Source organism: Homo sapiens, chromosome 15 (assembly GCF_000001405.40).
Source record: "Homo sapiens chromosome 15, GRCh38.p14 Primary Assembly".
Taxonomy (NCBI): Eukaryota; Metazoa; Chordata; class Mammalia; order Primates; family Hominidae; genus Homo; species Homo sapiens.
The window spans coordinates 84,233,603-84,248,231 of record NC_000015.10 but is presented as its reverse complement, the minus strand read 5'-3'; the positions used below and the strand labels follow the sequence as shown (position 1 = coordinate 84,248,231).

Sequence of the window (14,629 nt, the reverse complement as noted above, 5' to 3'; positions counted from 1 at the left end):
TGGTGAAACCCACTCTCTACTAAACAACACAAAAGTTAGCCTTCCTCTTCTGCTTTTCCCAGCAGGAAAGGCCCAGCCTCACCTATGCAACCTGCAGCCCCCCGCCAACCAGTTGAGGCTCCCCTCTTAGACTTATATGTCTATGGCCAGTGCCATCTGGCTACCTGCCCTCCCTGCCTTCCCTAGGGTCCCTCAGAGGACCCTGGGTTTTCTGATGGCCCAGAGGGGCCTCTGGCGACCACTCCAGCCAGCCATCCCTTATAGCTCCACCATTTTGGTTCAGGCAGTGTTCCTTCTCTATCAGGCCTGGTGGCTGTTGGATGGGGCTCTCCAAGCAAGAGGTGGCCCTGGGCCAGTGGGTTGGAAGACATGGGGACCACAGAAGAGGGAAGCCCGAGGGAGCTGGCATTGGTCTGAACTGTGGGTGGATGGGTGGATTGCCTGGGTTCCATGAGACAGGCCAGCGTGTGTGGGGTAGGGAGGGCCGCCGCAGTCCCCAGGCACTACCTATGAAGCTCCAGCTTCTCCCTCCATCTCCCTCCCCTTTTCCTTCCAGCCCCTCTTTTCCAGGAACCTTGCCACGCCCACACGTACGCCCTCCCCTCCCCGGCCCTCCACAGCTGCTGCAGCGCACCCATACTCTGCACTTGCCTCACCAGCTCTGGCTTTTCTCTAACCCGTTTTCTCTCTGCTTTCTCTCCAACTGCCAGCTGATCGGGTCAGGCAAGTCCATCCCATCCAGGGAGCCCCAGGCCCCACTTCGACGTCTAAACAGATCCCTCTTCCCAGAGACCTCCCTTTCCAAGCCTGCCTGGGCGGGTGTCCTGTGACTTGACAGTGGCTCCCCCAGCCCCAAAGCCAGCCCCCTTCATCTGTGACTTAGTCTGTTGTAGTGGTGAGCTGACACGTCCAGGTGTGACCGTTGCTGAAAACTTGTGCCTCCTCTGTGGTATGCCCCTGCCCTGTTCTATAGCTATAAATTCTCACACACACATACACAAACACACACACACACACACACACACACACATATATACATATATACACGTGGCCAACTGCCTCACCTCTAGCACTGGGAATCAGTCCCCGTGCTGTGCTTGTGGAGTCTTGTAGCCCAGCAAGAGGAAGCTGTCTCCTGACATCGCCCCTCCAAAGTGCACCACCTCCAGTGAGCTTCCGGGACATGCGCGGCCTGTGGAGAGCCAGCCCCCGCCATCCCTCCCGCCCTTCTGGCCAAGCATGGCGGTGCTGTGCAGGCAGCTGTGTGGCCTGACAGTCTCTACCAGTCCTGCTGTCCCTCGGCTGAGAAACCCATTTCTGGATGACAGAGAATGTGTCCTCTGCTGGCTGTGTTCTCTATGGAGCTCAGGGGATGGAAAAGGCCAAGCCATTTTTAGGGTGTTGTTGGGAACAGTGAAAAGGTCACACCCTTTTCAAGGGACACTTTTCCTGGAAAGTCCCTGGAGCTCAGCTGGCTCTTATCCTGTGAAGCCGGCTCTGGCCACTAGGGGACAGGGCCCTGAACTCAGCCTGGAAGGAGCCTGTGGGGCAGCCGGCACTCTGGAGGGACAGACAGGCCACCTGGTGCAGACAGGAACGGGAGGAGGGGGATGGAACGGAAGACACCTGGGGTGGATGGAAGTCAGTGCCCTTGGGCACTGGTATCTGTCTTCCCTGCCACAGCTAGATCAGGCTTCTCAACCTGTTGACTGTCAGGGCCGGACTGTACTCCGTAGGTGCCATGGCAGTCCCCGTGAAATCCACCAGGTGTCACCAGGCAGCATACAGGTAACAGGCCTGGAAGATTCCCCACAGCCCAGCTGGACATGCTGAAACACTCTGGGGCTCCTCGTTGAGTGGGACAAACTGCAGGACCCAGTGAGGGAAACGGGAACATAACAGGCCGAGCAGTATGGCTAAATCCATTTATTCCAAAATCAAAAGCAAAACAACAACAAACCAAAAACAGGAGTCCCATCACCAGGGAGCCATGACCCCATCCCCGCCTCCTTCCTCGCTCCTATGCTAGCAATAAATAAGTTTCCCAGCCGCGAATAATTATAAGAACCTCTTCCTCATATGCCAGCTGCAACCTCCGCTAGGTACGATACAGAATGTTACACAGCTACAGTATGTACACGGGGGAAGGGGGGCCACCCCCAGCAGCCTGTGCCCTGGCCTGGTCTACAGTTAACTCCACTGTCCCGCCTCAGCTGCCTCTCTGAGTAAGAAGATGGGAGCCCCCCTGAGGGAAAAGTTGCTTTGGTGAGAGTAAGAAGGCCGTCAGACCTCCTCCAAACAAACCAACTCCACCAACCTCTGGCTCTTAAATAACAAACATCATCATCCAGAAATGTAAGGACTCAGCCTTGGTCAAGGTGGTAAAGGGTCTGTTTGTCTCCCTCCATTAGACAAGGGTCTTGTCTTGCTACCCTAATGGTAAAGGGCTGACTGGGGAGGGGTTGTAGGGACATGGTGGGGGTGAAGACTCCAGACCCACTTCTCCAGGCTTATGCTGACAGGGGCCTGCTTTTATTTATTTTTATTTTTATCCCATGACTTTTTTTAAATCCTGTAACTAATTTTTCATAACTTTTTAAAATAACTTTTCATAAAACTTTTTTTTTACTTTTTTTCCACAACTTTTTTTTGCCACTTTTCCACAGTATTTTTTTATCCTGTAACTTTTTCATCCCACAACTTTAATTTCTGTTAACTTTTTTAGTTTGTGTTCTTTTAATAAACACACTTACATAGTTACAATTTTGTAAGAATAAAAACCGATTACCTCATGCCAAGCATGCCGAGAATTTGCAGAGTCTCAATACCCAATACTATAGTTTTCAAGACACACAAAATTTTTAGGCAAAACAGCACCTTGAAACAATTTAATAATGTATTACATTACAGTAGCATCACAGAAGCAGTCAATAATGCCACTTTAGACAAAAATCAGTATTTCCATTATGCATTCTGTGTATAAGAATTCATAAATCGGTAAAAGTCATTCTAAGAAAACTTGGCAAATACAGCTTTGGACTGGAATTGGCATTTCTTTGTCTACTTTTCCTTCCCCTAGATTCTTTGTTTTAAACTACAGTATTCATATTTTAAAATGTTTTAAATTATTTTAAGACGTTAATATAGCAGTTACATTTTTGAATAGTTATTTGAAAGTGACTGTAAGATAAAGTTTTAGAGAATCTATTATGGATAGGGTTGATTTACATTTTCACATTTTCTAAAAATCAGCTTTGGTTTTAGAACTGATTGTTTTTCATTTTGGGAAAACCTACCAGGTTTAATCAATTACTTTAAAAATAATTATCATATTTTGCAGTCTTTAAATAGGTGTTTTGATTCTTTACTCCCTAGAGAAATTCAAATTTATTCAGTTGAAGTCACATTTTAAAATTCTATGTTCCTGCTGAACTCTAACCTTCTAATGTTGCCTTCTAAGCAAATTAAAGGCTGCCTTATACTGAATGAGGTAGAGAACAAATACTTGGCTGAATGAGGTACTGCAAAAGACTGCATGCACTTTGAAGAAAGACTTGAGTTATTGTCATAGGATTTCCATTCTCTTTAGCTTTTTCTTAAACATATGACAAAATACCTACACAAAGAGTCGTATTTGAATTAATATAGTATATTTATTTTTCAGACTGACATTCATCTTAAATATGCCAGTATGTGATTTAATCCACAGGTACCTGATGAACACATTATTGTCAGATTGGTTACAGTTGCTAAACGCTATCTGAAGGTCATTCCTATTCATTTATACGTGTCAGGGTAAAAGTGAAGCGATTTGAACTATAAAAATACCTTTGAAATAATTTATCAATGTATTAGATAAGCTCAGTTTCAGAATGATAAACAAAAACTGTTAGACCAAATAACGTGGCTAATTAACAGTGGTACGATTTCTAGCCCGAGGGTTTAAAATGGAGTTAAAGTAAGTGTCTTTAAACTGAACTCAAAGAATGCAAAAGCGGCAAGTTCAGACAAGGCAAGAACAGGACCTTTAGTCCATTTTAAGCCATAAATATTACACAAAATATGCCTCTAACTGAAACTGAGAGGTATAAAAACATATTTCACTCTTCGTAAAGAACTTTGTGAGGAAATATAACTCTGTGATTGTATAGACACTTTCCTCATGACACTTTGACAGTCACAAACAGTAGATTGCGCTGCAGTTTGTAAACATTTTACGTTGCATAAACTGCTCCTTGATTTTCAAATGTAGTATAATACTGTCTACTAAAACTCCTTTTTGTTTCAACTAAGTACTCTCACATATATTAGTTTATAATAATGTTTGTTATTATTTTTAAAGTGTTCTCCATTCAAGGAAAAGAAGTAAATTCCTATGTCAGATGGTTGAAGACTAGCTATTAGCCAGAGAGGTCTAGATGGTAAAATCCATCTTCTAGCCTCAAATAAGCTCCATGAACACAGAGGAATGCCAGGTGTCACACAGCTTTCCTTCACTCGAATTCATTCTTGACTAGAGCCTGTATATGCCTGTTCCAGGGGCATTTAAACTCTTAAAGGATTTCTTCTGATCTTTACTAAATACATTAAGGAGAACGCCAACCAGTGCCCTTTTGTGTACTGGGACATGTAGTCATGTGATTAAAACAGGGAACATGAACGCTGACTTTAAAATGTATTGTAGATATAAATGCTCTCAGCTAGAAAAGGTTTTCCACATCCACAGTCATGATGGGAGCCTTTCATTCCTCAGAAATAATCCCTTTTCAGGTCATCAAAAAAGAGTACAACTGCCACAGCTCATGAGGCAGTATCTTCATGAGCCCAGAGCACATACAAATCCTAAGGGAACTACCGTAGTACAGCGCTCATTCTTGGCACCGGAACAAATGAAACATATTCTATCCTGCACACACCTGCCAAAGCAGGCCACTTTCCTCTTCTGGGAGATTTAAAAACCTCCCCAAAATGTTATTACTCCCATCCCCAATACACAGAAAAAGGGGGAAAGGCTGTTTCCAGTGCTCCACCTTTAAACAACTGTAAATGTCAGTACTCACAGTGGCATATTACAAAGTAATAGACCGCGCACTTGAGGGCAAACTGCATATTGAGCTAATGAAGAGCTCACTGTGATTAGGATTCGATCAAACATAACAGCAGAACATAAGGAAATTTTATCTGAATTCCGTAATGAATATACAGGCTGTACTAACATTCAAAAAGCATGGCAGCCTATCCCAAACCAGCAAGAACAGTTGTGTGCATACAGTGGGTCTTTGTGTGTTTGAACTCCCACCACATAAGGGCAAACTCGATATGCATGCTAACGTCCTATAATTATCAAATTAAAAAAATGCTAAAAGATGCCAGAGTGAACATGAGAGAAACACCCACTCTCATTTAACTTTTTACAAATAAATTTAAATTATAAATTAGAAACACAAATAAATTTAAACTATAAATTAGAAACACAAATAAATTTAAACTATAAATTAGAAACACAAATAAATTTAAACTATAAATTAGAAACACAAATAAACATAAGTGGCTCTAACATTCAAATGAAGTAAATGAATTGTGTAGGATATTAACCCCTTAAATGTTTTGTTTTTTTTTTTCAATTCCTTGACCCGCTCTTAGATGATGGTGATGTTTAGCTCCCTGTTCTCCGCAGCCCGAAAAGAATGGCATGCAGCCTCTCCTGCTCCTCCTGCCGCCTCTCCTGTACCAACAGCTTCTCCACTCAAGCCTGGGTGCTCCTGGGGAGTCCTGCATTAGAGGAAGCAGCTGCTGGATCTGCTGTGCAGTGGGGTTGTCATGGGGGAGAACCCTCCCTGTCCTCTCCCGGTGCAGCCTCCATGCTATCAGTGAGGCTCAGCCCACTAAGATCTTCAGAGAGAGGGAGGGGGGTGGGAATCTGGGCACAGTGCGAGCCTCCCCTGCTCCTGCCTGCCCACCCCGCCTGAGGGCTCTACTCACCACCCTGCTTGTCCGCACATCCAAGCTCCTTGTGGGACTGGGGCTCCAGCTACTGGTCTGGCTGCTGCTGCAGACTCGGAGCCTCTTGGCTCTTCAGCTCCACCTGCCGGAAGACCCTGGGCATGAGGACATGTGGTGGCTGGCTTCCAGATTCCTGGCCCATTAATAGGGTAGCGAGGACACTGTGGGGCTCTGTGGCCTGCCCAGGCCCCTGGCCCCTTGCTCCAGGCCTAAGAGACTGTCTCCCTTGCCTAGAACCCCATGCCTCCTTCCCTAGCATCAAATCTCACGCCCTTTTTCCCAGCATTTAAACTGTAGGCCACAGACTGGTGGAAAAGCAGGCGGAGCCAACCACCATCTGCTAAGTGTGCTACATGCCTAATGTTTCCACGTATTATCTCATTTAATCCTCAGCACCTCTGCAAGGAAAAGGCTAACTTCCTTTTGAAGTTAAAGAAACAGAGACTTAGAGATGCAAAGTAGTTGAATTATGACCAGTGGAACCGAGGCCGGAATCCAGTTTGAATCTAAGGAGTCTTTTTTGTTTGTCTGTTTTGTTTTGTTTTGAGAGAGTGTCACTCTGTGTCCCAGGCTGCAGTGCAGTGGTGCAATCTCAGCTCACTGCAACCTTCATCTCCCGGGCTCAAGTGATTCTCGTGTCTCAGCCTCCTGAGTAGCTGGGATTACAGGCATGCACCACCAGGCCCGGCTAATTATTATTATTTTTTTTAATTTTAGTAGAGATGAGCTTTCACCATGTTGGCCATGTTGGTCTCAAACTCCTGACCTCAAGTGATTGTCCTGCCTCAGCCTCCCAAAGTGCTGGGATTGCAGGCGTGAGCCACCACACCCGACATAAGGAGCCTCTTATACCACTGTCTCTTCCTCTGTGATTGGGGGGCTCCATGCCTCTAGCTGGGATGATGATGTCCAGACCTGGGAGGACCCCAGGGCTACCCACCTCTAAAAGTCAGAGGGCAGGAAGCAAGAAACAGTCATAGGACTGCCCCGGAGGGTGCTGGGGTCACCTGTCCCCAGGCTGCAGCTGCCTGTGGCCTGGCACCTCCCCTCCCCAGAGGCTGGTGCCCGCCTCCCACATCTTCTTGGATGGGTCGGAGGTTACAGTCTCTTTCAGCTCACCCGACTTCTTCAGCTCCTTTACTTGCTGCTCCAACTGCAGTGTGCTCTTGTTCTCGTTGTTCTGGACAGAGAGAAGCAATCAGTGGCCACCCACTAAAACTGGAGACCCCAGAACTTAGTGTCTGCCTCCCATGGCACCGGGAAGGGTGGAGGCAGGTTAGAAAAATATCCCCTCTCTCCCACAGCCATCAGAGCAGGGCTCTGGCTCACAGATGCCTTTAGAAGTACCATTTCATGTGAAGGCTACAATGCCCCATTTTACAGGTGGGGAAACAAAGGCCTTGAGGGCTAGGGAAGAGGGCAGCCTCCCCAGGTGGGGCAACGCACCAGCTCCTCGAAGCCGCTGCGTGGCTCGGCCCGCTGCTCGTACAGGGCTTCCCACCCCAGCTCCAGCATCCTCTCCAGCTCCCGCAGCCTCTCCAGCTCCCGCAGCCTCTCCAGCTCCTGCAGAGTCTCCTGCTGCCACAGCCTCTCATCCTGTTGCCGAAGCCTCTCCTGCTCCAGGAGCTCCTCCACCTCATCCAGGAGCTCCTCCACCTCGTCCAGCAGCCTCTCCCTCTCCAGCAGCCTCTCCTGCTCCTCCTGCCGCCTCTCCTGTTCTAACAGCTTCTCCACCTCTTCCAGCAGCCTCTCCCTCTCCAGCAGCCTCTCCTGCTCCTCCTGCTGCCTCTCCTGTTCTAACAGCTTCTCCACCTCTTCCAGCAGCCTCTCCCTCTCCAGCAGCCTCTCCTGCTCCTCCTGCCGCCTCTCCTGTTCTAACAGCTTCTCCACCTCTTCCAGCAGCCTCTCCTGCCCTGGCAGCTTCTCCTGTTCACACAGCCTCTCCTCCTGTTCACGTAGCCTCTCCTCCTGTTCACACAGCCTCTCCTCCTGTTCACGTAGCCTCTCCTCCTGTTCACACAGCCTCTCCTCCTGTTCACGTAGCCTCTCCTCCTGTTCATGTAGCCTCTCCTCCTGTTCACGTAGCCTCTCCTCCTGTTCACATAGCCTCTCCTCCTGTTCACACAGCCTCTCCTCATGTTCACGTAGCCTCTCCTCCTGTTCACACAGCCTCTCCTCCTGTTCACGTAGCCTCTCCTCCTGTTCATGTAGCCTATCCTCCTGTTCACGTAGCCTCTCCTCCTGTTCACGTAGCCTCTCCTCCTGTTCACGTAGCCTCTCCTCCTGTCTCCTGTTCAGGAGACTCAACATCTGATTGTTTTCCACCTCAGCCTGGAGCTGTCTTCCCACACTCTCTAGCTCCTTCCTTAGGTGGTTGGTCTCATCTTGTAGCTGCTCTACCTTAGATGGCCCTGCTGGGGGCTCTGGGGCCAGGGGTTCAGCTGAGAAAGGAAGCAGACAATAAGGGCCTCTGGATTCTCAAAAAAAAAAAAAAAATCCTCCCTTCGGTGCACAGCTCCTCCTCTCAGGCTTCCCAAACTTGGCCTCACTGCTAATGACTCCTCACACCCGGATGGTAGCCAGTCTTCCAAGTCACTTTCAGATAGAGAGCACTGTGGGTGGTTGACAATGGGCACTCCTCCCTCTTTACTGATGGGGACACTGAGGCTCATGGAGATGACAAGACTTGTCCTCCCCTGGCACAGACCTCTTTCCCTCTGCCTCAAAGCCCTTCCATCCACCCACCTCCCTGGGGCATTCTAAGTCACCCCCACAGCCCTCTAATGCCAGTCCAGCTGCCAGGTCATGCCAGCCCCATCTTACCCGTCTGGTTTTTGAGTTTGAACAAGCTCCTCCCAAGCTTCTGTACCAGATGTATCTCATGCTTCTTCTCCTCCTTAGATGTGCGAACCTGCCCAAAGCAAAGGGGGAAAAGGGCCCTGGAGGGAGGGGCTGGTGAACCTCCAGAGACAGAGTTTGAGAAGGGCCCACCCCCCTTCTGCCAGTTTGTGATTTAGAAACGTGCATTCATTCAATAAACATTTACTGAGCATGTACAGGCCAGGTACAGTTCTTCATAGCAGAGATATAAAACAGCAAAGGACAGACAGGAGCCCTTGGCCCTGAGGTTTCCATTCTAGGGGCCTTTAAATCTCTGACTTTCAGAGCTAACCGAGACCTTTGATACTCTCTACCTCCTCCAGAAACACGAGCATAAAGAGGAGAGATGGCTTGTCCAGACTCAAAAAGCAAATTAGGGACTGAGGCAGGGCAGAAATATGGACCCCTGACAACCAGTCAGGCTAGTGCTTCCCAGAGAGGTGACAACCCCAGGGCATGTGTGGCAAGGACTAGAGCAGGGGTGTCTGGAGAAGAGAGAGTCAGCAAAGAGGGCAGTGCAGAAGACCCATGCTGCATGTTCTGTGCTCTGGGGTCCCTCCAGGTGAGACCTGGGTGCCCAGCTCCCCATTTGCCCTTGGCATCAGGGGCCCCTAGCTCCTTTCTTCAGGGCCCCAAGAGGAAACTGGAGTCCAGGATTGACCAGCTGTAATCAGGGGACCCCACTGGACTCTTACCAGTGAATTGATGTTTTCAGTGAGTTGACTGATTATTGCGGAGCTTGAATCCAGGGCCACTGCTAGTTCTTGGTACTGGCTCTGAGGTGCATGCAGAGAGAAGGAGTTGGAGGAAGATTGTGGGGAGGGGTAGAGAGAATAATCATTAGGGCTGGTGGGGGTGTGTGGGCTGCCTCAGCTGGCAGAGGGGCAACAAGCCCCTGCTGTGGGAGGAGGTTGGAGGGCTGGCCTGCAGGGTCACTGCACCTCGGCCCAGGGCCTCTTACCTCCAGATCCTCCAGGGTAGTAGAGGATGCACGGCCCTCCCCGTAGATACCTGTTGCTGACTGCAAGAGATGAGAGTGCACATGGAGATGTTCTGTCCCCCCTCACTGTCTAAGCCCTCTGACTTCCTTTCTTCCCCCATCAACTGGCAAAAGCTTCTTTTCTGCCTATCTTGGACCCTTTTTCCCATAACTCCTTTGTGCCAACTTCTCTCGTGGTTCTTATCTCCCCACCATCCCACCCTGGGGCCCTTTCAGTGACTCCTAAAGGGACAGCCTGATGGCAAGTGGCTCTTCTCATTGGCCTGGCTTCCCCTTGAGACTGGGGATGAGGAAAATCAAACAGCAACGACCATTTCCTCGGTGTCCTGGGTGTTTGCAGCAGGCCATGTACTAAGGATTCACATAAAAGCAACAATAACGAATCTCATTTAAACTTCACAAATGGAAGTCAAAAAATACCACCTCTATTATACAGATGTGAAAAGAGAGGCCCAAAGACCTCAAGCAACTTGCCCTAAATCATATGCTAATCAATCCCTAATCAATTCTTAGCAGATGGAGAGGCAGGATTCAAATCCAGAATTCTTAACCAGTACCCAACAGTCCATCTACAATCTTAACAATTACCCTCTACTGCCCCTTGGGCCCCCTGTCCCCAGGACCCTGGCCCGCCGAGACTCACATCCCCAGGTGAGTGGTAACCACCAGAAGTGGCTGTGTCAGGGCTACTGCCATTGATTTTCTTTTTCCTGTTAGCTCCTGCTGGAATGCCAGGGCTCTTCCTCTGCCAATATGCTTTTAACTGTGGGAAAGAAGAGCGGTAACACTCATGAGAATGATCAGCCCCTACAGCCACATCCTCCTTTACAGTTTTGACAAAATACCCTTATATACCATCTGATGTAATGCCACCAACAACTGTACAAGGTGTTGTCACAATCACTTAGTGACTGAGAGGGATTGATATCATGGATAGAAAAAAAAAAAAAAGAAAGATCAAAAAAGGCAATACTGGAACTTAAACTCAGTCCTCTGACTCCAAGCTCTGGGGTTTTGCCATGAATCAGCAGCTTCCAGGGACCAAAACCAGGGGCAGAGGTAGAAAAGTAAACATTAAGCAGGCAGGAACTGTAGGCCGTGTGGTTTAGAGTCATACATCCTCACAGGTCTGCTAGCGTGAAGAAGCGTACCAGTACCTCTCACACTTTCATATCAATGTGTCCTCATGGCAGAAGGCAGCTTTTCTATTAAATCTGGGAATTTATCAGAAAGAGGACAACCCAAGCCTCATTTCAGAGCGAAGTCTGGTATACGCTTGGAAACCTATGTGTCTGTCATCCCTAAGTACATTAATGCATTTTCTCAAGAGAATCAAGGGAAAATGATGCTTCAGAAAGATGTCCCACATTTATCCTGTGGCACTCAAAGTACCCCAGGTTGAGACGATATGAGGAAGATTCAAGCTGTCAAGTTCAGTTTCCCAAGATCTATTCCACAGAAGATGAGCAAATCTCACTTCAGAGGCCACTGACTGAAGGGCAGTCTGGTCCCAGAACCGTGGAGAACTCAGAAAAAAATGTTAAAGTCTCTCTGGAAAGTAGAAGCCTGGGAAAAAACCAAACCAAACCCATTCTCCCATTGCCACCCAGAGATACTGTGAACATTTTGAGCTCACAGGGGAAGTGTAGGCTTTTCCCACTGTCAATGTCTATGTTAAGGGAGTAAGGCAGCCTGAAACCTCTTGCTCCTAGGTCCCATAGTCTCCACTCCCCTTCCAGCTGGAAATTTGTGCTGCAACCAGAGGAACCAGAAATGGGGTGAGAAAACTTAGGGGACTGGGTTGTAAGATCAAAGGCCGGTCTTGCAGCAGTAATGACAGTTCCTAGGGGCACTGTGACATCATTGCATTCCACTCCTCCCAGGGGAGGGGACCACATCAGCGCGATGCCCGAGTCGCTGCTCCACGATGGGGGAGGGAAACACACGGTTTCGACCCAGGTCCTCAGAGACGCCAGCCCAAGAAGCCTAGGGAGGTCGAGCTTGGGGCAGCAGGAGGGGAGGGCAGAGTCTGCAGTAGGGAGCCCCGGGAGTCACCAGCCCAAAGCCACCCAGGGATGACTGGTGAGGGCAGGGCCTGGGGCTGGGGGACCCAGGTCCTGGGAGACGCAAGCCCAAAGAGCCCAGGGAGGTTGGGCTTGGGGTGGCAGGAGGTGAGGGCTGATTATGGAGCAGGGAGCCCCAGGAGTCACCTGCCCAAAGTCACCCTGGGGTGATTGGCAAGGGCAGGGACTGGGCTGCTTGCTGAAGGGGTGGGGCTGACTGACTAGGCTTTGGTTGGGGGAGCCCAGAGGGGCTGGGGTTGGGGGGCCCCATCTGGTATGCCTCAGGAGTGGTATGGACTCTGGCACAGGTCTTGTCATCGGAGGGGATCTGTGGCTGGGTTGGGGGCCATGACCTGGTGTGTTTTACCTTTTTCTTGGCTGCGGCCAATTTCCCCTGTTGTGTTTTTTCTGACATCGCGGGGTGGGGAGGGAAGCGGGGTTGGGGCCACATCAGCGAAATACCAGTGAGCACTGCTCAATGCCTCCAGTCACCTACCAGGCAGCTGTGCAACTGAGCCACAGGTGGCGTAACCAGGGCACCAATGGAACGCAGAATAGGGGCGCGGCCTTAAGGCTCCAAGCCCATTGGTCAGTGAGAAAGATGAAAGGGAAAGGAGGCGTGGCCAGGCAGCAGCATGTCCAGAGGGACCTGTGGCATCATAAGGAAAGCTGCCCATGCAACCGCTGTCCCCGCCCACTCAGAGAAAGGGGAGGGGCCGCCCACTCTGGGAGAGGGGAAGGGCTGGGTTTTGCTTTAAAACTTTTAAAACTGTAAAAAATAAACTTTAAAAAATATATGTGTATATACTTTATATATATGTGTGTCTGTGTGTGTGTATCTATGTGTTCCTCCAGAGCTGTCTTCATTATGCAGCTTCTGTGCAAAGTCTGTGATTTTGGCCTATATTTTTCATCTTCAAATGGAGTACAAGAATTACCAGTATTACCTTAACTGAGATATAGATCCTATAAAAATGGAAAATCCATAGCATGCTTGATGATTAATGAAGCCGACTATAGTATCCGACATTCCAATAAGACAAAATAATCACAACAATTTCTCTTTTTTGGAAAAATGTTTGTCTTACTCTCCTACATTATTGTTAAGATTTCTTTTAAAAACAAGAAACATGTCTAATATCTTTAAAAACACAAAGCTTTTGGGCCGGGTGCAGTGGCTCACGCCTGTAATGCCATCACTTTGGGAGGCCGAGGTGGGTGGATTGCCTGAGGTCAGGAGTTCGAGACCAGCCTGGCCAACATGATGAAACCCTGTCTCTACTAAAAATACAAAAACTAGCCAGGCGTGGTTGCGGGTGCCTGTAATCCCAGCTATTTGGGAGGCTGAGGCAGGAGAATCACTGGAACCCAGGAGATGGAGGTTGCAGTGAGCCAAGCTCACGCCACTGCACTCCAGCCTGGGCGACAGAGCAAGACTCCATCTCAAAAGAAATAAAATAAAATACAAAATAAGTAAGAACACAAAGCTTTCAATTTAATAACCACTTAAAGCTCTTTACTGGTTTAAGAGAATTACAAGGCCCATTTTTCTAGAATCACCTGGCCTCTCTAAGCCTTGCAAATGAAGCTGAATTTCTCACTTGATACTTGGCTCTCACTTGCAGTCATGAAAACCAAGAATTTGTTATGTCACTGTGTATTGCTTGTTACCTGAAATCCACACTAGGCTGGGATCAAGGGTTGAATCTTTCATGATTTTCTCCATAACCTGTGTGCTTCTTATCCCACACCAAACTAAGCTTTTTTTCTAGAGCTCTGCAACTTACAGTTAGTATATGAGAGCAGTTCTCAAAAATGTAGTCTCTGGACTAGCAGCTCCAGCAGCACCTGGGAACTTCTTATAAATACACATCCTCCGGCCCCACCCTGGACCTGATGAATCAGAAACTCTGGAGTAGGGCTCAGCAATCTGTGCTGCAGTAATCCCTCCAGGTGTTCAAGAACCTCTGGCATACAGCAGGTAGAAAAATGTGTTTCCTTCTGTAGGTCCAAAACCAGGGATACTATATGTTTTCTCTATATGAAACAATGACGTGCAATTAAAAGACATAAATCTCCTTCCTGCTCCCACCTTCCAGCCAATGTGTTTTATTTTTATGAGTTAAATAAGAAAACAATCAGAGATTTCGTCTAAATCGCATATTTACAGGTATCAGTTCTCATCCAGCCTGATCTTATCCAATATCATTTATATTCTCTTACATGTGAAGTTTTAGAGAAGGATCTTCACAATGTAAGACTCAGGCACACTAGCAGTTCTGTAATAAAACACCAAGTAGATCAGAATGTCCAAACTTACTGGAGAAGAAAAGTGGAATCATTGGCTATATTTTCAAATTGCAATAAACAGGATATTAAAGTTTTGAATTTTTTTCACCTTCATCCTTCCACGTTAATAGAATTAAGCCAAAATACTTGTCTTCCAAAGCCTCTAGCCAGGCAAAATTTTACTATATTACTTCTTGCTTTTCAATGGCTATAAAGCAGACTCCTGGTAGGCACATTTGGTATACCTGCAAAGATGAAGAACTAAACAGTTCCATCTGTTCAATACTGAAACAAAAGTCCTGCAAACCTCGGATGGTGAGTGTAATACTTCAGCACTAGCACCAAAGCCTCAAATATGAAAAGATACCAAGAACACCACTAGCAAACAAAACTA

At 47.9% G+C, this 14,629-nt stretch overlaps 1 protein-coding gene across 3 annotated transcripts, besides 1 other annotated feature; it reads right to left on the bottom strand.

The window, feature by feature from the left end:
* Nucleotides 1,620-1,759: an enhancer, noted in NCBI's record as "active region_9981". NCBI's record gives its function as "activates an Ori minimal core promoter by ATAC-STARR-seq in GM12878 lymphoblastoid cells {active_cell/tissue: GM12878}" and the evidence as "EXISTENCE:reporter gene assay evidence [ECO:0000049][PMID:35858748]".
* Nucleotides 2,874-12,459, bottom strand: GOLGA6L4 (golgin A6 family like 4). Of its 3 annotated transcripts, none has more exons than XM_017022482.2 (10): nucleotides 12,314-12,459; nucleotides 10,527-10,646; nucleotides 9,845-9,904; nucleotides 9,579-9,659; nucleotides 8,827-8,914; nucleotides 7,894-8,444; nucleotides 7,450-7,737; nucleotides 7,123-7,183; nucleotides 5,983-6,085; nucleotides 2,874-5,772 (listed from the first exon to the last, which is right to left on the bottom strand). In XM_017022482.2, the coding sequence occupies exons 1-10, from the start codon at nucleotides 12,395-12,397 to the stop codon at nucleotides 5,640-5,642; spliced, it is 1,569 nt and encodes a 522-aa protein (XP_016877971.1). In that variant the 5' UTR covers nucleotides 12,398-12,459; the 3' UTR covers nucleotides 2,874-5,639. The 3 variants fall into 3 exon arrangements, with proteins under 3 accessions (XP_016877971.1, XP_016877970.1, NP_001254465.2); XM_017022481.2 differs by having other exon boundaries at nucleotides 7,450-7,750; nucleotides 7,907-8,444; NM_001267536.3 differs by having other exon boundaries at nucleotides 7,450-8,444.
* Between the last annotated feature and the right edge of the window lie 2,170 nt (nucleotides 12,460-14,629).